The following is a 24,854-nucleotide window of genomic DNA, read 5'->3' on the forward strand; positions in this document are numbered from 1 at the left end:
GTAGAATATCTCTATCTTTTTAATTGTCTAAATTTCTAAAATATGTTCCCACCTACAAAATGCACATATTTTAAATTTTAGCCACTTAGTCTTGGTCCGGAAATAAAATCTATCCCAGCTGATCATACAAAAATTGAGTAAAAGTTTTACTTACCTTAGTAAAGTCAGTTCCCGTGCATTCAATAAAAATATTTCTAGTATTTACTGTTATTCTGGAATGATCCCCTGCAATGAACACAAAACAATAACATTAAAATAACTAATTTCAGAAATAGAAGTGCACTATTAAGCTCAACAAAACAGAAACTACATTTTAAATGTAAAACATATTAAAAACTAACACCTTGGCCAGGGATGGTGGCTCACACCCACCAGCACTCTGGGAGGCCAAAGTGGGCGGATCACCTGAGGTCAGGAGTTCAAGACCAGCCTAACTAACACAGAGAAACCCCTTCTCTACTAAAAATACAAAATTAGCCAGGCGTGGTGGCGCATGCCTGTAATCCCACTTACTTGGGAGGCTCAGGCAGGAGAATTGCTTGAACCCGGGAGGTGCAGGTTGTGGTGAGCCGAGATGGTGCAATGGCACGACATGGTGCAATGGCACGACATGGTGCAATGGCACGAGAGTGTGCCATTGCACTCCAGCCTGGGCAACAAAAGCAAATCTCTGTCTCAAAAAAATAAAAATAATAAAAAAAAAACCTAACATCTTAAGAGCAAAGGGATAAACAACTTATATTTAAAGCTCCTACTGCAAGTTGAAGAATAAAAATAAAATAATTAACAGGCCTTTACTGAATGCATACAATGTGTCAGGTGCTATGCCAAGCACTTAACATAGGTTGTCTCCTCTAATCTTTACCACAATCCTATGATGTAATTGCTGGCAAGAAACTAAATTCAGAGAGATTAAACTATTTGACCATGATCATGAGCAGCAAGGCTAGGATTTGGGTCTAGAACTGGTTAACTCTGGGGCCCATGTTCTTAACCACTGTAACTACTAGGGTCCAAGATCTTGAGAAGAAGCTTCTCCTTCTCATAGCAAATCAGCTAAGCCTCCTTCTTACCTCCAGAAACGCAAACATCTATGTCTCAGACATCATTAAGTTTTGTAAATACATTCAAACTGCCTCATAAAAATAGCCTTCAGAAAGGAATTAAGAGGGCAAAATTTAAATTAAAAGTTTTTGTTTAACTATATAACTAGGCAAGGCCAGGCACGGCAGCTCACATCTATAATCCCAGGGCTTTGGGAGGCCAAGGTGGGAGAATCGCTTGAGCCCAGGAGTTTAAGGTTGCAGTAAGCCATGACTGCACCACTGCACTCCAGCCTGGGCGACAGAGCAAGAGCCTGTCTCAAAAACAAAACAAAAAACAACAACAACAAAAAAAAAAAACAAAAGAAAAAAAACTACAGACATGACAGAGTTTGACTTTGAGTTTAACCAAGTGAATTACTTGCTAAAACCAAAACATCAATAACCTTTGAAGAAACATAATAGAACCCAAAACCTAGCATCAGAAAATATTTATAAATGTATGAGCATAAGTTACATAAGAATCACCAATAAAATGTTGTTGAATAAATGAATGAAAAGAATGATTAGAATCTACAAAAGACCTGAGATACTCAGATTATGAGTTATTTGAATTTGATTCAGCCAAGTCTATTGAGAATTCTACAGAAATGCTGAAGATTAAAAGGAAACAGCAAAGATCTGTGATGCTTATAAAATAACTCACCATTGATGATGGGAGGCATTGAAAGGACGACACCATTGCTATCATAGATAACTGGATACAGGGGTTTGTTTTCAATGATATGTAAATAATGTTTCAGGTGATTGTCAGTCTGAAAACAAATTAAGTCAAATAAAATTAGTTTTTTTTTTTAATTTCTATCACTATAGTTCACATACTGACCTAATATTAAAAAAGAAGAGAACGCCAGGTGTGGTGGCTCATGCCTGTAATCCCAGCACTTTGGGAGGCTGAGGCCGGTGGATCACCTGAGGTTGGGAGTTCAAGACCAGCCTGACCAACATGGAGAAACCCCATCTCAACTAAAAATACAAAATTAGCCAGGCGTGGTGGCACATGCCTGTAATCCCAGCTACTCGGGAGGCTGAGGCAGGAGGATCACTTGAACCCGGGAGGCAGAGGTTGCGGTGAGCTGAGATTGTGCCATTGCACTCCAGCCTGGGCAACAAGAGCGAAACTCCGTCTCAAAAAAAAAAAAAAAAAAAAAGGAGGGGAAAAGTTAGAAAAACATTAAAACAGACCCAAATTAAAGAAAGCTCTAAATTTATAAGATTTTCTAATATAAATTAATATTCCAGTATTCAATGAACACAATTGAATCATTTCTCAAGAGTGAAAACAGATTTGCACTGGTATGCCTGAATCATTTCAAAGGAAACATAAACCATGACAAAACTATTTAGATAAATACGAAGAAGTCACTTGCAAATCAGGGCAAGGATGACCCTGCTTTTTCTAAACGACACCTATTTTTTCTACTTATTAAATACAATTCAAAGTGACTACTGAATTCATTTTCGCTGCTGGACTTTTAAATAATGGGAGATAGACAGCTTGTAACAGTATTTCCCACAAAAAACACTAGCTAAGTTTTACTGTTCTTTATACTTGCATGAGTTTCAATTGAAGATTACAATGTGGTATGGTCTACTTCAGTGGTTCTCAATCCTAGCAGTACACTGAAATCATATCAGAGGTTAAAAATTTAATAATAAATAAAATAAAACTATGTTCAGGTCCCACTCTAGATCAGATGAATCACTGTCTCTAGGTTGGAGTCCAGACACTGCTATTTTTTAAAAGTATTGATTACATTTCCCTAGTTGCAAGGCTTGACTTTGATGGAATTTCATGATTTTTGCAAAGCTGCTGCATAATCAAAAAGAATATTTACCTTGTATATGTTCATCAGTTCACAGGCTGTATACTCCTTGGTCTTATTTAGAGGCTTGAATTTGATATCTGAAGGACGCTTTGCAGTATAAGTAAATGGGCCCGACAAAGTGTCCAAATCATGGGTACCAATGGCAACCAGTGCTCTTTTCCTAATTGTTGAGAGGTTGAGGGAGAAGGAGGGAGGAAAGGAAAGGAGGAGAATGAGACAGATTTGAATATTCTAAAGCCGAAATTCTAAAGATAACATAAATATAGACTACATATTTTTTTTAATTATTTCAGATACTTCCCTGAAACAGCATATTGCTACTACATGGCATCATTAGTGGCATATAATGAACAAATTCTCACAACCATTAAGAGTACTGAGAAATCACAAAACTACCTGAAATACATGATTTCAGGAGCTGAAGAAAATTCCTTGCCATTATCTTTTCCCAAATATTGTTTCTAGGATATCTTCAAAGTTAGCATTTCCTTTACCTCTTTTAACCTATTTCTTCTTGATATACTCAAGTAAACATGTTTTAATAAATTAGAACGAACTATCGAATTGTGGGTTTTTTGGCTTTTCTATGTTTTCCTAAATTTTATCACATAGCTGCATTACCTTAGTCATGGAAAAAATTTAATTTTAATTTCAACAGCTCTGAATTACAGTTCAAGTTTACTTTAATGTATAAGGAAAGTTCAAAAGGTATTCATTTCACTTGTTCTACAGTTTATCCACAAAGGATTTAAGGTAATTTTAGGAAATTACAGCAAGCAACAAAATAGGAGAGAAAGAAATAGAAGTAGGGATGTAAAACCGAGCCAGGAAATGTTAATTCTGAATTAGAATCTAAAAGCCTAAGTCTTACCAGGAAAGGACACAAGTTTGGCTTTCTAACAGTCAATTTGAAAGGAGGAACTTGGTCAAAATTTGTGTTCTTAACATTCTTTAGTTTAAAGTGTATGTGCACTAAATTAGTTTAAAATGCTTAATATTAAATTTTGGTCAACTTCTAGGACTGCAGGACTGGTGAACTACAACTTTAATAAATAGGGTTAAAAAGAATTGCTAACAGGCAATAAGGGAGTGTTACTTTACTCAATTAGTCATATGCTTACAGAAGATAATAAACCCAGAACTATCATAGGATAAAATATGCATGGTTTGATAAATGCAGGTAAATTAATAATTGACAAATGCACAGGTAAGAAAGTCTGTCTTCTTAGATATTAACATTGGTCCCTTAATCCTAAAACAGTACCTCAAAACATCACCAAAATTTCAACTTCAAATCAGCAACAAAAAAACGTAACTCCAGATGAATCAAAGACCTAAGCATTTTGAAAAGCAAAAGACAAACACACAGGCACACATACAAAAGACACCATAAAAATTATTCAAAGAAAATACAGAGGCCAGGTGAGGTGGCTCACGCCTGAAATCTCAACACTTTGGGAGGCCAAGGCAGCAAGACTGCTTGAGCCCAAGAGTTCAAGACCAGCCTGGGCAACATGGTGAGACCCCATCTCCACAAAAAATGTAAAAATTAGCTGGCTGTGGTGCCACACACTTGTGGTCTCAGCTACTTGGGAGGCTGAAGTAGGAGGATCACTTGAGCCAGGAAGGTCAAGGCTATAGTGAGCTGTGATTGCACCACTGTAGTCCAGCCTGGGCAACAAGGTGAGACTCTGTCTCAAAAAAAAAAAAAAAAAGATAAGAAAATATAGAAGAATATGCTTAGGCCGCACGCGGTGGCTCATGCCTGTAATCCCAGCACTTTGGGAGGCCGAGGCAGGTGGATCACAAGGTCAGGTGATCAAGACCATCCTGGCTAACATGGTGAAACCCCGTCTCTACTAAAAATACAAAAAATTAGCCAGATGTGGTTGGCGGGCGCCTGTAGTCCCAGCTACCCAGGAGGCTGAGGCATGAGAATGGCATGAACCCAGGAGGCAGAGCTTGGCGCACTCCAGCCTGGGCGAGAGTGCGAGACTCTATCTCAAAAAAAAAAAAAAAAAAAGAATATGCTTAAAACTGTAGAGTCAACTTCCAGGACACCACTTCTTAAGTAGGTCATAAAATCTAAAAGTCAAACAGGAAGACTGATAACTATACCCAAATTAAAAACCTTACATGTCCAAAAGAAACTAAAAGTCAAAAAACACAAAAAAAGGTTTACAACATATATACAGTAAAAAGATTAACATTCCAAATATAGTAAGATATGAAAAAACTAAAAATATTCAGAAATCAAGGTTTTATCTAACATAATGGTAAAAATTTCAAAGTCTTGCTATAATAGAGCAGCAACTGAAAGCTGAAAGAACTGAGCAGAAAACTGAACCACTGCTGAGTCTGAATCTAGCTAAGTATTCAAGTCTTTGCCTGAAAGAACAAAAACCACTCTTCAGAGAAACATAGCAAAGTCAAGACTCTTCCCTAATATGATATTCTATATGCATCAAAAGGCAATGGACATGAGAAGAAATATGGAAGACATGACTCTTACTCCAGACAAAACTAGTCCATAGAAACCAACGCTAAGATGCCCCAGATTCTGATACTGCCACATAGATTTTAAAGCTGCTACTAAAAAATGTTCAAGAATTATGGAAGAACATACACATAATAAATAGACGAGGAAATATCTGCAGAAAAGAAGGAACTATTTTTTTTAAAAGGCAGTGGATTGCAGAGATGAAAAGTAAAATAACTGAAGTAAAAGACTCACTAGGCACTTCAAGCCAAGACAGAATAACACACTAGATTTACTCTTGCCTGAAACAACCGAAGAGCAAAATATATGGAGCAATAGTTTTTATGGCAACTAACAGCAGGCAATAAAGGGCAGCAATCCCTGAGACACAGGAAACAAGTGAGGTGAGCCCTGACTATAGGGCAGGAAAGCAGGCCCAGTGGAGTCCAGGAGACTCCCTGAGAGCAAGAGACATAGCTGAGAGTTTGGGGAGGCCAAGGTGGGCAGAGTCCCAGAGAAAACCAGAGAGCTACACAGAGAGAGAACTCTGAAGATATGCAGAGGGTCCCACTGGAATACTGGTGAGCTCAGTATTGATCAGAACATGCAGCTGAGAAAACTACCCAAGGCCAGGAAAGAATTACTCAACGGAATTAGAGGAAACAGTGCTCCATGCTCACACAGACTAAAACTTCACTGCTCATGTAGCAATGGATATAGTAGGCAAAGGGTCTTGCCTCAGCAGTAGGGACTAATTAGCCTAAAAAAGAGGCTTAATCAATAAAAATAGAGGAAAAAATAAGAGAAGAATCAATGAAACCAAAAGTTCATTCTTTGAAAGATCAATAAAATGAGTGGTTCATAACTGTAACCCCAGCACTTTAGGAGGCTGAAACAGGAGGATCACTTAAAGCCTATAAGGCCAGCCTGGACAATAAAGCAAGACCCCTGTCTCTACAAAAAAATTTAAAAATTAGCCAGGTGTGGTGACTCATGCTTGTAGTCCCAGCTACTTAGGAGGCTGAGGCAGGAGGATCACTTGAGCACAGGAGTTCTGGAGTTACAATGAGATGATCATGCCACTGGACTCCAGCCTGGACAACAGAGAAAAACCCTGTCTCAAAACAAACAAACAAACAAAAAGATCAATAAAACTGATAAACCTCTAGCCACACTGATCAAAGGAAAAAAAAGAGAGAAGACAGAGGAATGAAAGAGGTGACATCACTACAGATACCACAGATATTAAAAGGATAATAAAGAAACATTATGAACAACTTTGTCAATAAATTTAATAACTTAGACAATATCGATATATCCCTTGAAATACGTAAACTTCCAAAGCTCATTAAAGAGGTTAATTAGGATTTACTGACAGAAAAGAACTCTGGCACACCAAAGTATTAGGATGTGTTCAATTCTTCCCCTTAGAAAAAGCTCATGATTTCCAGAAATACCAAATAAAACAGAGCTTAAAGTTAAATTAAGTAAGAAAATGTCTGTTTAGATTAAAATAACTTCTTAAAATAAACAGATAATAGAGCCAGAGCAGATAATCTGGCTCAACCACTTAAGTTATACCTATACTTGTCAGAAATCTTGTATTTTGTTCTTAATTTTGAAATTATATTTAAATTGTTATTGTTTTGCTTAATAATGACATATTAGCAAGCTGACATATAAACTCTTTTATATACAAGGACTGGGAATAAATGCTATTTGGAATCTGAAAAAAATGTTGCTACTACCACATGGACAAAGATGTTTTTCACCACAGCAGAAAATGTCTACGGTTCTCCCTCTATCCTGTCCCTAGCCCATCCCATACACATAAACCCCTCCTAGGCTCTACAGTTTACTAAACTACAATTATTAGCAAATAGCTGCAGCAGATCTCACACAAAAAAATAAATAAAAATTCTTTTTCTATTTTTATTTGAGACATATATAACTATCAATCATACCTTTGGATCAACATGCAGTAACTTATGCTGATCTATTTCAGAACCAACACAAATAAGCTTAATATGTTAGGCTAAAGTCTGAGGTTTCTCATCATCAGTAAGTATACAGTTTCCATTAGGATTTTGAAATACTTAAATTTGTTCAAGGATTCCCGTTGTTACCTTCACTGACCTTTAAGAGTTCAGAAATTATACAGGTGTGAAGATTATTGCCCTAAAGGAGCTGTGCAGGAAATTATGCATAGTAATGTAAAGACTGAATAAGTAAAATTTAGTCATTTAAACTCAAGTTCTGTCAATTTATAATTACTCTCACTCAAAAAGTGAGAATAAGCCAAAATGTTATTTCCATTTTAAAAATGATATATCATACTTCATTAACACGGTTTATACTTAGTAGCATAATCCACGACTGATCTGAACCAAAACAACAACAACAAAAAGCAGGGAAGTCTCTAGGACTAGATAATTCTTCTCTATACAGTATTCAAAATATACCTCCTGTTTCTCCATGCATATGGCATTTACAAGCAGTAAAAGGTATCTGGTAAAGCAAAGTGAAATTCTCATATTCTGTCACATACTATTAATTTAGAAATGATTTGTAAAAAATCTGCAGAGGAAGAAAGGAAGGAGAGAGAGAGAAAGAAGGCAGAAGTGGCAAGAGAGAAGAGGGAGAGGGATCAGGATGGAAAGGAGATAGGGAGACAAAGGGAAAGGGGAAGGCAAGGAAGAAAGAAAATGCAACCACAAACCTGCAAATATTCTGATGTAATTTCTCCTGAAGTTCAATGAAGCTGTCATATCGATCTTTAGTAAACTTTATATTACGGAGAACTGCTGCTACCGCAAAAGGACGTATCTTAGCTGTCTGAAATTCATAATATCATTAGAGATAGCAAACAGTAAGGCTTTTCTTTGTAATATCTTGTAATAGGAAGGTAGCTGCATTCTTGCCACTGGCATACATTTTCATTCAAACAAGTATATATTAATTTATTCAGTCAACAAGTAATAAAGTGGTAAACAAGAGAAAAAGTCACTACCTTCACAGAATTTATATTTCAGTAAGATTTCTGAAAATGTATTAAATAATTGAGAAAAAGTTTGCTCATAATTCATATATTTACCAAACAACCCCTCTGAAAAGTTTAAAATCTTTTAAAATTTCATTAATGTTCCACAATTTAAACAATTATATCTCAAATGTGTTTTAAACATGCATTGGATATTATTATCCAAAATTATTTATGGAAAGCAAAGGCTTTGTTCTTTTTCATTCCTAGGTTAAAAAAAAATGTTTTTTTAAGGGCTAGGGGCTAAGTATATAATCATTTTAGCAAATGATCAAAGAAAATCACATTTTTTAGAAGGGTAAGCTTTGGACCAGGCACAGAGGCTCACAGCTATAATCCCAGCACTTTAGGAGGCTGTAGGGGAAGGATCCTTTGAGCTCAGGAATTTGAGAGCAGCCTGGGCAACATAGTGAAACCCCATTTCTAAACAATACAAAAAATTAGCTGGGTGTGGTGGCGTGTGCCTGTACTCCCAAATACTCAAGAAGCTGCAGGGGAAGGATCCTTTGAGCTCAGGAATTTGAGACTAGCCTGGGCAACATGGTGAAAACCCATTTCTAAAAAATACAAAAAATTAGCCAGGTGTGGTGGCGTGTGTCTGTACTCCCAAATACTCAAGAAGCTGCAGGGGAAGTATCCTTTGAGCTCAGGAATGAGACCAGCCTGGGCAACATGGTGAAACCCCATTTCTAAAAAATACAAAAAACTAGCCGGGTGTGGTGGCGTGTGCCTGTACTCCCAAATACTCAGGAGGCTGAGGTGGGAGGATCACTTGAGCCTGGGAAGCAGAGGTTGCAGTGAGCCAAGACTGCACCACTGCATTCCAGTCTGGGCAAAAGAGCCAGACCCTGTCTCAAAACAAAAAAAAAAGAGTAAGCTTTGTTTCTCTTTCCTCCCCACTTTATACAGACATGTACAAAAGAAAATTTTTAAAAGAAAAATAAGAATTTGTCCTTATTACCTCTTCTGTGATAATCAATTTCTGGATTTTTCCATCAGGCATTACCCGTTTATACACTGGAGCCTTTATCCTAAAATAATATTTAAATGAATTTACTCATAATTAATCAAGACATTATATAAAATAATTACATTCTATGCTGTATATAGGAAGTATACAAAATGAATTAGGGCAATGGGTTGAGTTACAGCAAGTCAAATTTTGGCTGAACACTAAAAAAAAAAAACAAAAAAAAAAACTAACAAACTTTTTAACATTTAAAGTTGTCCAAAAATGACATAAGATGCCTCATAGTAATGTATTTCCTATCACTAGCATCCCAGCAGAGGCTACAAACCATTAACTGAGCAACCGTTTAAGGAGCATTTCAACATCAGCTGAGGGACTGGATTAGATAACCTTTAAGTTATGATAGTTATTCTAACCATGAGATTCTGAGCTTCTAGGAAGAAACAGAGCTTATGGAAAATACAGATTCCCTGGTTCCATCTGGCCCTACTGAATAAAATAAGTGAAGACAAAGATTTGGTAAATGGTGCATTTTGAAGGCATCTCTAGGGAACTCTTATCATAGGGAGAAGTTGGGAACTACTGTTTTAAGGCAGTGCTTCTCAAATTTCAATGTGCTTACAATCAATTGGGGAGTTTGTTAAACCACAGATTCTGATTAATAGGTGTTGGGTGGCGACTAAGACTGCATTTCTAGTAAGTTCTCATGTGATTCAGATGCTGCTGGTCCATGGACTCACTTTAAGTAGAAAACATTTTAAGTTGCTTTCCTAATTCTGTCTGATCATAAAAATCACAAGGTGACTGGTAAAAATACAGATTCTCACTGGGCAGGTTTGGGAAACGAACTCTCAGGAGTTATCCTTGATCCTAAAATAAAAGCATCTGATTGTCCCATAGGAAACCAACTGAGTCAACTCTAAAATTTTAACCATCCTTAACCTAATGCCTAATTATCACCATTTCACCAATACCCATCACTCACCTAAACCCTCACAATTTCAGAATCTAGCCCATCAGTTAGAACTCTTATTCTTTTGCAGCTGACCAGATAATGAAGAAGTAATCAAAAATAAAAACAATTTTTAATAGCTGTTCATTTTTTTCACTGTATATATTTGTTATCCTCTATCTTTTTTTTTTTTTTTGAAACAGAGTCTCCCTCTGCTGCCCAGGCTGGAGTGCAGTGGTGCAAATCTCGACTCACTGCAACCTCCACCTCCCAGGTTCAAACGATTCTGTGCCTCAGCCTCCTGAGTAGCTGGGATTACAGGTGCACGCCACTATGCCTGGCTAATTTTCATATTTTTAGTAGAGACGGGGTTTCACCATGTTGGCCAGGCTGGTCTTGAACTCCTGACCTCAAGTGATCCACCAGCCTCGGCCTCCCGAAGTGCTGGGATTATGGGCATGAGCCACCATGTCCAGCCCCTCTATCTTCATTAAATGAAAAGCTGGAAGGGGCCTTATAAATCTTCTTCATTATAGATTAGGAAATTGAAACTAGAGAGGCCAACTAACTTGCTCAAGATCACAGAGCCGTCATAAGATCTTTGGTTTTTCCAGTTAGGAGGCTTCACTCCTGAGCTTCCTTAGAACTCATAATGTAAGGGTATTTATTGCTAGCTCTCCATTTCCTCTCAACTTTTAACACATCCAGTGAACTACTCATTCCAATTAGATCACGGAGGGGAATCACACACACCTGCTAAATAATTTTTTAAGACGCCATAAAAGCATTAAACACCAGTTTTAAAATATGTTCTCAAAGATGAATGGCTATGACTAAAATTTTCATGGAAATTTTCAAATGGCTACAATCTGCATGAATCTAATTCCTCAAATCAACCCTCTATTGAGAGCTAAAGCTACGTTCCTCTACAAGCTTTTTCCTAGAAATTTAAACATGGCTGCTGATAATGACAAGGAAAGAAAAGAAAACCCAACTTAGCAAAGTCTTTAAGGAACATATTTCCTTACCTTTCTTTGAAGACCTGAAGTCCTCGAACCAATCCTTCCAGACACAGGAGATCATATCTATTGGCAGGGACGTCAATTTTGTAAAGAACAACATCAGAGGCTCCTGCTGCCTTTACATTACCTTGTTCTTTACTTATTATTTCCTTCTCAGATGTCTAAAACAAGCCAAAAAGTAATGATAAAAATTAAATAATTTAAACTCTCTTTAAAAAGTAAAAGTTGTCAGCCCTATAAGGCAGTAACTACATTATACATATTTTCTATAACAAGAACATGGGATTATTATATCCACGACAAAAACAACATGAAAATATTAAGTGTTATAATCATAGCAGACAGAAAAATACTTCAGCTTTAACTGAGTTCAGATATCTGGCAACCTCAATCACCCCAGAAAAGCACAAATCCATCTAAACAAGGGTCAGCAAGCAATAGCCCCCTGGCCAAATCATACCTGATACTTGTTTTTGTAAATAAAGATTTATTGGAACACAGACAGACCCATTCATTTACATATTATCTACTGCTACTTACACACTGCAATAGCTGAGTTGTAACAGAGACTATAGAGCCAAAAAGCCTAAATATTTACTATCTGGCCCTTTACAGAAAAAGTTTTCCCATCTCAAGCTAAAAGAAAATTAAAACATCACCAAGAACATAAAGTAACAACAACAAAAGTGTCAAAGGGGTAAAAGAAAGATGATTCACTAAATAAAAGAAACACAACTTCTTATAGGATGACTCTAAAACCTAAATCCTGTGGGCACCCAAGTCCACATGAGAATGAGAGGGGTAGTATAAAAACTAAAAACAGTCAGAGACCATCAGACACTGGTAAAAATTAGAAGGGATAATAGGTACAATGGGAAGCAAACTAGTGATAGCAAAGGGATAGTGCAGCAGAATGAAGGCAGCCAAGAGGGAGATGACAGAAGAAACACCACTAGAATCACGTTTAATGCAGTGGCAAAGAGTTTAGAATATCTCAAGCACCACACTACAGCAGAGTAACAGATTTTCTTAAACATAACCACTGCAGAGAAGTTACACTCTATTCCTTATGTTTACTACAGCAGGGAACTGTAAATATATTTAAGAAATTTTCACTTGAAATGATTACAAGTTGTATTCCAACTGTTAATGTTACGCTTTAATTATGTGGAAACTCCACTTAACCAGAATTCCTACTATTTCCACCACCAACAACCTGCTAAAATAACTGATGGATTTCTATCAAAATATGTAATGATTTTTGTTTTACATGATGCCCTCCCACTGCCACAATATAAGTAGTTCAAATTTTTGTCCAAATTAAGAATTATATCCACATTTGCACAATATGCAGAGAAATTCACTTCTGGCCACGAGTATTATGTGCCAAAGTCCCACCTGAGGAACCACAGGAGTCTATGCAATGCTGGGGCTGTACAAGGTGGTGCTGGGCTCCAAAAAACCTCTACCTTGGGCATCTCAAACTTAGGAGGCAAATTTTTATAATTAGGGAAAATGAAAAATGAAAAACAAGAGAATGAAGAGGAGGAGGAAGGAGTAAAAAGGGGGAAAAGAAAAGAAGGGGAATGGGGAGAGGCAAAAAGAGAAGAGGAAGAATTCGAGTTTAAACAATGTTCAATCAAAGGGGTTAATAAAATTACTGTTTCAATAGTGAAGAAAGCTGAGTCACCTCCCAGGAGATGGCAGATCTCAGGAGGGACCTATATACAGAGAAGATAATATAATAACCGGAGAAATGAAGGCATCTGCATTCATTTTTCAGCAGCACCCCCTTATCCACAGGGGATATGTTTCAAGCTCCCCAGTGGATGCCTGAAACATTGGATAGGACTAAATGTTACATATACCATGTTTCTTCCTATACATACATACCTATGAAAAAGTTTAATTTATAAATTAGGCACAGTAAGAGATTAACAACTAATAATAAAATAGAACAATTAAAATAATATACTATAATAAGAGTAATGTGAATGTAGTCTCTTTCTGTCTCAGAATTTCTTATTGTACTATACTCACCTATTTTCAAACCACAGTTTGCTGCAGGTAACCAAAACTGTGGAGGCAAAAAACTGTGGATAAGGAGGAACTACTGTAAAAAAAGATCTAATTCCTTTGCAAAAAAAAAAAAAGACACAGAAGCTTACATCTTCTTTCAGTTTCAGCATCTCAGCTCATACAATGACCATATGTAAAGACTGAATTTGTCAGTGCTACCTGACAATAATCTTACAGAAATTTAAAATCACATAAATTTCAGAGTCAAAAAAGAAAACCATAAAGATCATATAATCCAAACCCCTTATTTCACAAATGAAAAGGAGGCCCAGAGAGACTCGTCTGGACTATAGAGTTCAGACAGGCAAAGTAATTGTCCATAGTTACACAGCTAGTAAATGTTAGAACTAGAACTCAAATAATCTAACATCCAGTCCAACACTCTTAGATATCACATAATTTCAAACATAATTCTGAGGTGTAGTAAAATTACGAATAGCAACTTATAAACTACAGAAATCTCAGCCAATTTCTCAAGTATACAAATAGATTAGTACAAAGATGATCTTTCTGTAACATTAGTAAGGCAGCAGGAAAAATAAGGTAAGATAATGTACAATTTTTTAGCCTGAACATTTTTTAACTTTACACCTAAGGTAGTGTTATAAAAGCACTGAATAGGTGAAGATAGAAGGCTTAGGAAAAAAATAATACTAACTATCAGAAAATTATCTTTTAAATTAAAGTATGTCTTTTTTTTTTTTTGAGAAAAAAATTGGGCTTTTATTGGCAATTACAAAAGTAATAGATTTTCTTACATAATACGTTCCTTCAGTAATATATTTTTCAAGTATTTTACCATAGAATTTCTAAAGTACTTTGTCATTGACCCCATAATTTATTATAAAGTAGGTCCCATAATCACATTTTTTGGAAGTTGCTGAAATTGAGATAAAAAATATTGTTTTTTTATGAGAAAAACTGGACAAAATACAGAATGGCCAAAACTAGATTAACTGGCTCAGTTATGTCTACTAGGTGAAAGAAAATACAGAATCTGTTACTGTAGAAATTTTAAGAGGTTTTGAGTCAGTTCCAGTATAAAAATAAGGCCAAAGTTCTCCTGTAAAATCATCATTAAAAGTACAGAGAAGAGATCTATCATTCAAATTATAAAAGGAAACCTCATTCATTTCACAGTCTAAAAAAATGCCAATCTTACTAGGTGTTACTTTTGGCAGCAGAATAATTTCCTTATGGCCCAATACAATATAATTATTCCGACTAGATTACCAAATTCTCCATAATCCATCCTGTACTAAAATTGGTTGACTCTTCCTCCTTGTGGGAGGAGAGTCACTACAGACACCAAGAATCCATTCAGGCATGTCTTTAACTTCTACTTCCCGGTACTGCCTGCCACAATTTTATCCCTTAGAACCCAGAACAGCTGGGAGCAGATAAAATCTTCTTGGGTTATGAGGTAAGTTTTGTGTTGTATTTCCATATCGCACAGTTTTTCTATCTTCTGAGACTATAAGTTTACGATGTGCTGCTTCAGGATCTAGAATTACATCTACTTGAAATCGCTTGATAATTTTGTTTTGGCCACAATATTGTGGAGACAGATGGTAACCATATTCTTTTAATTTGAATAAAAAAGGTTTAGGGAATTTTAAATTCTTATGTCTGTGATAGATATCCTTAACATCAGCCAGTAATTCCAGTTCTGACTTCACATATATGCTCTCTATCTTCTTTAGTAGATATTTTAATGAGGAGGTATAATCTGAAAATTTTGTTAGGCTTTCATTTAGTTGTGCTAAAATATCCATCTCGTCATCTTGTAATTGCCCAAAAACAGTCTCTTGCTCATTTTGCAGAAATAACCTAAGTTGCTCAAATTCAGACTTGACTTCTTCTGCCGTATGTTTTACCTTTTTCTTCAGTTCCAGTGATTTTCTGGTTTGTATAGTTATGACTTTTTCAATTAGTTCCACTCTCTCCTTCCACGGTGCATTGTATTGCTCCAGTTTTTTCCTGATAGGAGGCAGCCTTCTTTATGGGCCAAACACAGCGATGCTGGTGATCAGTGGACAAACTGCACCTTGGACATAAAAGCTCTAGGTCTTTCTGAGAGAAGAAAGTCAAAACCTGATTATGCTTCTTACACACATGCTTCTCTTCCTGCCTCTTCCTCTTGCTTCTTAGCTGGAGTTGCTTAGCAATTTCAGTCAAACTACCCAGCTGGGGATTGCTTATAAATTTCCTTTCTGGACAGCACAAGTGGCAAAAGGGGCAGGGGAAACTATCATCTAGATCCTTCCAGGACATAATGATGCAGGAGAGACAGAAGTTATGCCCACAGCTGATGGTCACTGGGTCTTTCAAGTAGTCCAGACAGATGGGACAGCTAGCCTCTGCTCGGAGGTCAGCCAGGGCTGTCACAAATTCTACGGAGCCTGGAACAAAGATGGTAGGTAAGGTAATTCTTTTATTTTAGCAAGGCCTAGCTCTCTAGAGCTCAAGACCCACTATGCAGTGGATTCCTCCCCAGACCTTGAAATCTGACCAGCTTTCAGTTTTACTGACTTGGCATGTTGATGGCAGCTTCTAGAAACTTGTTAAGCCCTCAGCTCCTTAGCTTCAGACTTCACAGCCTGCAGCCTATTGCATATTAGAACTTATTAGCTGGGCTGCTGCTCTTCCCACTAAATGAAATAAAGTCAAGTTTTCTTCAAGAAAGCAGCCTCAGGTCCAAGATAAGGACTCCTTCCTGTAATCCCAGCTACTCAGGAGGCTGAGGCAGGAGAATCGCCTGAACCCAAGAGGAGGAGGTTGTGGTGAGCCAAGATCGCGCTGTCGCACTCCAGCCTGGGCAACAGAGTGAAACTATATAAAGCACATTGGGCCAGGCATGGTGGCTCACACCTGTAATCTCAGCACTTTGGGAGGCCAAAGCAGTGGATCACTTGAGGTCAGCAGTTCGAGAACCAGCCTGGCCAACATGGTAAAACCTCGTCTCTCCTTGCATTATAATCACCTGGAGGGCTTGGTAAAAGGTTGCTTGGGCCACATCCCCAGTTTCTGGTTCAGTAGGGCTGGTTTTTTCCTAAGTTCCCAGATGATGCTGCTGGCCTGCGGACTGTACTTTGTGAACTTATGCTGGAGCAGATGGATCAGAAACCCCGGCCAGAGGATGCTCAGGACCCATCAAGCCCCCGCGAGGAAGGACTCAGACCCCCAACCCCACCAAATTAAAGTATGTCTTTAATAGATAATCATTATTAACAATATTAAAATGTATAGCCGACTTGATTTTTTTAAATATTGTAATCATTATACAATCAAAAGTCAAAGAAAATGCTTCCTCATTTTTATAAGCAAGTCCTTAAAAAATATTAGTTCATTTTACAAGACCAATGAATATAGTAATGCATTAGTACTGGTTGAAGAGGCACGGAGGAAGGTTATGGGGGCAGAGGAGCTGAAGGAGGAGGCGCTGGAAGTGAAGGAGGCAGGGTAACTCTGGTTGAAGCAACATTTCTACTGCTTCTTGGTCCCTTTCTGTGATTAATTTGCCAAAGGAGGGAGCTTACTTTCATACTGGGGTTATCTAACACATTCTATCCATTTCCACAGCATGAGCCTGGTAACAAGGTGATTGTAGATGGAATAAGGCATGAACTCCTTTTGAGATTTTAGTCAAGGCAACAGACAGACATGGAGCTTAGCCCTCTGAACACAGAAATCATGGCCCACAAACATTATCACCTTAGTCTAACTATAAGGTAACAAAGATGAAATACAGTATAACCCTGAAAAATAAGCTTATGCACACAATCTTTGAAAAATAGACAAATATCCAATACATACAATTTCATCAAGCTCCAGACCAAATTCAAAACATAGTTCATCAAATTCTTCGTCAGCTAGGAAAATAAAAAAGGAGATGGTTAATTTCACTCTGTTCAGTATAAGTGAAAACTACATACAAACTGCATTTTCTTATTACTAATTGCCTTACACCAATCATACTACTAAATATCAGGCATCACATATTATCATTTAAAAACAAACAGGCCAGGCATGGTGGCTCATGCCTGTAATCCCAGCACTTTGGGAGGCCAATGTGTGTGGATCATCTGAGGTCAGGAGTTTGAAACCAGCCTGGCCAACACGGTGAAACCCTGTCTCTACTAAAAATACAAAATTAGCCAGGCATGGTGGCGCATGCCTGTAATCCCAGCTACTTGGGAGGCTGAGGCAGGAGAATTGCTTGAACCTGGGAGGCAGAGGTTGCAGTGAGCCGAGATCATGACATTGCACTCCAGCCTGGCTGACAAGAGCGAGACTCCGTCTCAAAAAATTAAAAAAAAAAAAAAAAAAAAAAAAAGCTGGGCCAAAAAAATTTAAGATAAAAAAAAGAAAAAACTATTAAAGGCTTGATTAATCTACACTAATATCAACTGTAGTTTAGGTTACCTGCACTGGGAAGTTTGCATGTACACAGAAGAAAAACACCTGTTCACCTGTTAAGTAGAGATCAGATATAAAGTAGGCTCCAAATCACAGATCTCACACAACAGAATGTCACATAAGTCCTATCAGGTAAAATGGTCTGAGGTGGCCTGACACTTTTGGCTTTGAAGCCAAGTCAATCAGAGTTTGAATTCTATCCCACTTATTAGATCTGAGAGTTTGGCACCTTATGTAAACTTTCTTGGTATCTTGTGTCAACATTACAGCTGCCTCATCTATAAAATGGTATTTCACAGCCATTATGGCATGGTACTATTGGAAAGATTTAAATGCTAATGCATAAAATGGACCTGGCATAGTACCCTGAGACACAGTGAGTCTACAATAATTAATAGTTTATTAGCAATTAATAAAATAAGTTCTCTTCCTTATTTTAATATTATATCCTACTGTTTAGCTTTTCAGGGTTCTCACATTACCAAAAATTGAACACAAAACATCATTAGCAGTATATTCTAGCGAAAACTGGTCTTAAGATTCCTGATTCAGACACTAAATTTCAATTTAACATCTATGTACTGAGTACCCACCTTATACCAGGCACTGTACTAGGTACCAGGGTTACAAAGATAAATAAAACACAATTCCTGCCTTAACTACTTCCTCATCTAGTAAAGAAGCCAGATGTGTAAATAAATATGACTGTGTTAAGTACAAGGTACAGGGCTGGCACAAAAGAAGTAATCAGTTTCTCTTATGGTCAGCTAAACCTTCACAGAAAGGATGAGTTCGTTAGGCAGAGATTGTGGGGCGTGAAACAGCATGGCAAATTTGGAAACTCTTAAGTAGTTCAACATGGATGAAACATAAAGTTCATATCAGAAGATATGATGGAACAAGGAGAAAGGGGTCAACTAACAATTTGCCCTCTTTCTTACAGGCAGGCAATGGAGAATTATACTGAAGGGATTCTTCGGCTGGGCAAAAACATGATTAGATCTGCATTCTAAAGACTGCTCGCAGAGTAGAGGATGGATTGGAGCAGGGAGTCTACTGCAATAGTACAGATGCGATAGTGAAGACTTCATTTAAAGCAGCACCAGCAAGAATGAGGAAGAAGGGATTAATATGAAAAACGTTAAAGAGGTGGAATGTATAAGGCTCGATGGCCGAATGATGGGAGGTAGGAATAGGGAGTGTGTAGAAGGAGTCTAAGATGACTCCCCGATCTCTGGTTTGGGGGAAAAAATGGGTGGGGATATCATTAACTAGGGCAGGTAGTAATAGGTACCCAGCCTCCAAGACGGCCTGTTCCATGATCCCTGCCTCCTTGTATTCATGCTCCTGTGTGAACTGAGGTCTGCAGCAATCACCTGAGTGAGTCTGGAAGCAGATTCTCCAGCCCAGCCAAGCCTTGAAATGACAGCAACCCCAGCTGACAGCTAGACTGCAACATGGTGAGACCCAAAGCCAGAACCACCTTCCTAAGCTACTCCCCGATTCCTGTCTCTCAGAAATTTTGTAAAATAATAAAGGCTTGTTTTACACTCCTAAGTACCAGAGTAATTTGTTACGTAGCAACAGACTACTAATACTTTGGAATAATTTGTTACATAGCAATAGATTACTAATACAGACTTTAGTCCCTGGAAGTGGTGTACTGCTGTAACAAAAATGAAAAACATGGGAATGGCTTTGGAACCAAGCAGTGGGCTTTGAGGCGTGTAAATGAAAACCTCAAGAAAGAAGCCTCATAGTCTTTGGTAAGGATGCAGGTGAGGACATGGAGGAAAGTGAGGTAATGTTATCAGAAAGCAGAAGAAGAGGAATCCTGGTTAAGAAGAGGCGGAAGGCTTAGCAACACCATTCCTTGCAGTAATGTGGACTGTAAAAAATCAATGGGGTGATGTAACTAAGATTTCCAACCAGTGTTCACAGTGCCACCTGGGTTTTTCTTGTGCTTATGTGAAAAAAAGAGATAAGCTAAAGGAAAGGCTGTTAAACAAAAATGAGCCAGGATGTTGGGGATTTAAAAAATTCTCATCTTCTCCAGATGTGAAACAATGCTAAAATTAAGAAATAACTTCTGAGCAAAGACCAAATCCAAGGCACTGCCAGGAAAACATGGTCCAAAGATAAAATCAAGGATATGACCATAAAATCTTAAGACCCAGAAAGATCAAAGGCACTAATCATTCCAACAAAGGGTGCTATTAAAAATTATAAAGAATGCACCTCATAAATCCAATTAATCACACAATAGGGCTTAATTAAGAGCACTGTTATCAGCAGAAACTCAATATATTTCAGAGATGTGTAGGTGGTGTGGCTTTTGACTAATAAAATGGAAGCCAGTAACATGCACCAAAGACCTTCCAAGTTTTTAGAAGAAATACATATGCAGAAGCATTGCCAGCTAGAATTGAAAGGGATAGAAATAGGATAAAATAAAGTCTTTGAACTCTCAAAATTCTATTAGCAGTAAGTAGACTGAGAAAACCAACCAGCTGTAAAGCACATGCTTTCTAGGGATCACTCAGAGGGGTGGAAACCAAGAGCCTAGAGGGCAGGGCAGACAGCCATGGAGAATTATTCCAGGCCTTCAGACCTAATCAAGAACATCCAACATTTGCCACTTGATTCCAGAATTGCCATGGACCAATGACTCCTTTGTGTCTCCCATTTCCGCCCCTTTGAAGTGGAAGGGCTACAGGAGTTATCCTATGCCCATCCCACCACTGTATGTTAGGTATATGTGGGGCAGATAAATGGTCTCTCGAGTCTCTCAGGCCAACAGTGTACTAAAGAAGCTATACTGAAGGAACTACACCCAAGGAGCCACATCCACATCTGGTCCTGATTTAGATGATGAGATTCTAGATTCTGAGCTGCTGCTGTAATGGGATGACACTTCTGAGGGCCTTGGGAGGGGGTGAGTATATTTTGCATATGGGAGGAACTGAATCAGTGGAGGTTAGAGGGGAAACGGTGGTAGTCAGCCTCCAAGATGGGCTCCAATAATACCGGCCTCCTGGTATTCACACCCTTGTACTGTTCCCTTCCACATTGTGCTAGGATTGGTCTGTGATCAAGAGAATATGAGAAGGGCTAGTGTATCACTTCTGAGCTGTTATTGAAAACAGGCGTCTATCCTCGGCACTCTCTTACTTACCTACTCTCTCGGACCTCTCCATCTGGGGCAAACAAGCTAACATGTGCTAAGTAGTCCTATGGAGAGGATAAGGTGGGAGGAACTAAAGCCTATGGCCAAAAATCAGCAAGGAACTGAGGTTTGCCAACAACCACTTGAATGAACCTGAAAGCAGTTTCTCCAGACCCAGTTAGGCCTTGAGATGACTACGGATCTGGCAAACACCTTGACTGCAATCTGGTAACAGATCCAGAGCAAAAACCACCCAGCTAAGCCAGTCCCCAATTCCTGACCCTCAGAAACTATATAACAAATGATAGCTGCTTTAAGATGCTAAACTTTGGGATAATTTAGTATGCAGTAATAGATAACTAAGTGGTACAGAACTATTAAAATACGCTGAATCCTAATTATCATATGTTTTATTCCTTTCAGCTGTTATTTCATGGGTTTCTATACAAAGAAAAATCAACAATAAAATCGTGATTACTAATTTCCTCTAACGAAATGACACATCAAGTAACCACACCTTAGGGGTGTATATGATATACACAGAAGGTTCTGCCACTACTGCCAGCTATTACACCACGCCAGAACAGGACTATAATTGAAGAGCAGTGATAATAAATCAGTTAACAAGAAAAGGAGTGGCAAGAGGAAACCATCTGCACAGAAAGTCCGTTGAAAAGGTAGACTAAGGAGACAAAACTGCTCCAAAGGAGTCAGAAGAGCAAAATAACCAAAATGGCAAACAGCTTGAAAGAGAAATATCCTTGCTAAGCAAAGAGGTGGTAAAAAGGAAGGTGGGGACTGGTAGAAACAATGGAATTTCAAATAGAAAGCAACCCTTGGAGGGACTAAAGAGAGAGAATGTGGATTTTAAAAGTGTGAATGAGACATTATCTGAAAACAAGAAAAAAAGAGGAAGACTGGGGAAAAAAAAAAAAGGTAAGAAACAAGATGTATCCATACTACTTGGAAACCACATGTTTGCTGAACATGCTTTTTCAATTCTGACCTCAACCCAGTTAACAGTTTCAAGCAAGAACACAATAAAGGTAAACTAATGAGGAGAATCATTTCTGACCTCTTGAAAGTACATCTCAATAAATAACATCAATCCTTCTGACTGAATTTTTTTTTTTTTTTTCTGAGACAGGGTCTCACTTTGTGGCCAGGGCTGGAGTGCAGTGGCTTGATCACCGCTCACTACAGCCTTGACCGCCTTGGTTTAAGCGATCCTCCGGCCACAGCCTCCCAAGTAGCTGGGACTACACGTATACACCACCACACCCAGCTACTTTTTGTAGAGACAGGGTTTTGCTGTGTTGCCCAGTCTGGTCTCCAACTCCTGAGCTCAAGCAATCTGCCCACCTCGTCCTCCCAAAGTGCTGTGATTACAAGCATCAGCCATGTACCTGGACCTTAAAAGATTCAGTAGCTAACAAACACATATTTGTGAAAAAATCAATCTTAATTGATCACTGACAATATGAAAAAAAAAGGGAAGCAGACAGAATATGTTAAAACATCAGATGATAGTAAATAGGTTATAAATCTCACCATTTTTAAAAATCTGGATTATTTCTTACCTCCCTAGAAATGGAGACTGGGATGGGAACTGATTATAGATGTTTTGAACAAATATTTGCCACCTACCATCTTAGGCAATTCAGGTATACAGACTGAGCATTCCCAATCCAAAAATCTGAAATCTGACATGCTCCAAAACCCAAAACCTTAAAGTGCAGACATGATGTCACAAGTGGAAAATTCCACACCTGACTCCATGTGACTTGTCAAAAACACAGTCAAAACCTTGTTTCATGCAAAAAAAAATTATTTAAAGTATTCCATAAAATTAACTTCAGGCTATGCATATAAGGTATATGTGAAATATAAATCAATTTCATGTTTAGACTTGGTCCCACCCCCAAAATATCTCATTATGTATATGCAAATATCCCAAAATCCAAAATCCAAGACGCTTCTGGTCTCAAGCATTTTGGATAAGGAATTATTAACCTGTACCACATCCCATTAGTGAGAATATGGTTTAGAAGGGCAGGTAAGAAATATAAATAAGCTCATTATAAAATAAAGCGATTAGGCGATTAGAGCCAAGTACAAAGGGTAAGAGTAATACAATACCCTTGTATTTCCTTTACTTTCAGGGACTTATGGCAGAACTTACGAAGAATATCACATAGAGAATAGGTACTATCTAAAAGTACACACTTAGGAAAGATTCTTAAAAGCCAGCTTTATTTTCACTGTAACAGTAATCTTATTCTGGGAAGCGGTGGCTGTCATTAAACCAATTAGGCCTTTGTTAACACACTGAGCCCTAAAAACAAAAAAAACAGCTCTCACGAACCAGTTGGTCCAGCCTTTATACAAGCTAAAAATTATGGGGTGGGGGCCGGGCGCGGTGGCTCACGCCTGTAATCCCAGCATTTTGGGAGGCCGCGGCAGGTGGATCACGAGGTCAGGAGTTTAAGACCAGCCTGGCCAAGATGGTGAAACCTGGTCTCTCTAAAAATACAAAAAAATTACTCGGGCGCGATGGCGGACGCCTGTAATCCCAGCTACTCGGGAGGCTGAGGCAGAAAATTGCTTGAACAGGGAGACGGAGGTTGCTGTCAGCCGAGATCGCGCCACTGCACTCCAGCCTGGGAGTGCAGACTCCGTCTCAAAAAATAAAAATAAAAAAAAAAATAGGGTGGGGCAGCTGCTACGGCTGTGAGGTAACTGATAACTGCATTTAATATCTCCCTCCTTTTTTTCAATGGTTGTGTTTTTAGAACTGATTAAAAGATGAAATGTAGAATGAAGTCTACACCCATTTAATACTCCCCATTCAGGTCTCAGATCAAATGTTACCACCCTATCTAAAGTTGTTCTTGGCACAACACCTTTTCTTTCCTTGATGGCATTTAACATTATCCGAAATCATTTTATTAACGTGCTGGTTAATTGTCTGCCTCCATCAGACAGAACGTGGACCTGACGTGTCGTGTGCACAGCTCTAGTCCTAAGCTCTTAGAACAGTGCCTGACACATAACAGGCGCTCAGGAAACATTAATAAAACGAAGACAGGTGGAATGCCGTTCTCCACCCCGCTGCACAAATCTCTCCTCCTACCCCCTTATAAACTGAGTTCCCACAGCGCTGCTATTGCAATTAACTGGCTACGCTCGGGATGCAACCCCGGGTTTCCTTCCTGTTCTATCCCCTGGCTTGGATGTCGGTGCCAGGCACGCTGTAGGCACTCGATGGCAGATCGCTGAATGAATGACACGGCAAGCCGGGCACAAGCAGTGGCACCGCTGCGATGCCGGTTCCGAGGCTACCACAGCCCAGCCGGACCGCCACCATCATCGGCCTTCCCGCGTAAACCCCGGCCTCCCGGAGCCAAAACCTTCAGGAAGGCATGAATGTCGCCACATTGCCCTTTTGGAGGGAGGCCCTGCCTCCGAGAAGAGGCGTAGGGCCCAACGTATAGGGCCGCCACTCACTGTAGGTGCGGCCCAGGGCTTGGAAGAGCAGATCACGCTTCACGCTGACAGTCGGCATGGTGTGTCGAACTCACTGCGCCTGCGCAGCGAGCTGACCCGGGCTTCCCTAGCGAAGCGCGTAGGACCCGCCTCTTCTTGTGCGTGTTGTCTTGAATATCGCCATTCTGCTGGCAACAGTTCCTGTTCTCTTTTTAACCTAAAAACACTCATCATGCCATTACCTCGCTGATTAAATGTATCTTTATGAGACTAATAGCTTAAAAGCCTGTAAGAAAGATATAATTTGAT

At 38.7% G+C, this 24,854-nt stretch overlaps 1 protein-coding gene, 1 long non-coding RNA gene and 1 pseudogene across 6 annotated transcripts in view, besides 2 other annotated features; 1 reads left to right on the forward strand and 2 right to left on the reverse strand.

The window, feature by feature from the left end:
• Positions 1 to 24,643, reverse strand: part of FARSB (phenylalanyl-tRNA synthetase subunit beta) — an 89,194-nt gene extending 64,551 nt beyond the window's left edge. Inside the window, exons 1-9 of one of the 4 annotated variants that reach the window (NR_130154.2) lie at positions 24,567 to 24,643; positions 17,291 to 17,346; positions 15,352 to 15,547; positions 11,402 to 11,556; positions 9,413 to 9,482; positions 8,131 to 8,246; positions 2,942 to 3,092; positions 1,750 to 1,858; positions 155 to 225 (exon numbers count right to left, since the gene is read on the reverse strand). Coding sequence is in view for 3 of the 4 variants with exons in the window: in NM_005687.5 (NP_005678.3) it covers positions 155 to 225; positions 1,750 to 1,858; positions 2,942 to 3,092; positions 8,131 to 8,246; positions 9,413 to 9,482; positions 11,402 to 11,556; positions 17,291 to 17,346; positions 24,567 to 24,624 (786 nt within the window). In the remaining variant the exon portion in view is untranslated. Of the gene's footprint in view, positions 1 to 154; positions 226 to 1,749; positions 1,859 to 2,941; positions 3,093 to 8,130; positions 8,247 to 9,412; positions 9,483 to 11,401; positions 11,557 to 13,435; positions 13,473 to 15,351; positions 15,548 to 17,290; positions 17,347 to 24,566 lie in introns of all 4 variants that reach the window. The other 3 variants (XM_011510466.3, XM_006712169.3, NM_005687.5) reach the window with 3 other exon arrangements.
• Positions 6,798 to 6,945: a silencer, noted in NCBI's record as "fragment chr2:223502966-223503113 (GRCh37/hg19 assembly coordinates)". NCBI's record gives its function as "represses an EF-1alpha promoter that drives an FKBP-Casp9 reporter gene in an ReSE screen in K562 erythroleukemia cells {active_cell/tissue: K562}" and the evidence as "EXISTENCE:reporter gene assay evidence [ECO:0000049][PMID:32094911]".
• LOC105373902 (uncharacterized) lies at positions 14,173 to 19,450 on the forward strand. Of its 2 annotated transcripts, XR_923947.4 has the most exons (3): positions 14,173 to 14,897; positions 16,532 to 16,676; positions 18,837 to 19,450. It is a non-coding gene; the product is annotated as an uncharacterized LOC105373902 (long non-coding RNA). The 2 variants fall into 2 exon arrangements; XR_007088094.1 differs by lacking the exon at positions 14,173 to 14,897 and having other exon boundaries at positions 16,392 to 16,676.
• On the reverse strand, positions 14,467 to 15,871 carry LOC100420353 (tripartite motif containing 60 pseudogene; annotated as a pseudogene).
• Positions 24,704 to 24,753: an enhancer, noted in NCBI's record as "active region_17167". NCBI's record gives its function as "activates an Ori minimal core promoter by ATAC-STARR-seq in GM12878 lymphoblastoid cells {active_cell/tissue: GM12878}" and the evidence as "EXISTENCE:reporter gene assay evidence [ECO:0000049][PMID:35858748]".

Source organism: Homo sapiens, chromosome 2 (assembly GCF_000001405.40).
Source record: "Homo sapiens chromosome 2, GRCh38.p14 Primary Assembly".
Lineage (NCBI taxonomy): Eukaryota > Metazoa > Chordata > Mammalia > Primates > Hominidae > Homo > Homo sapiens.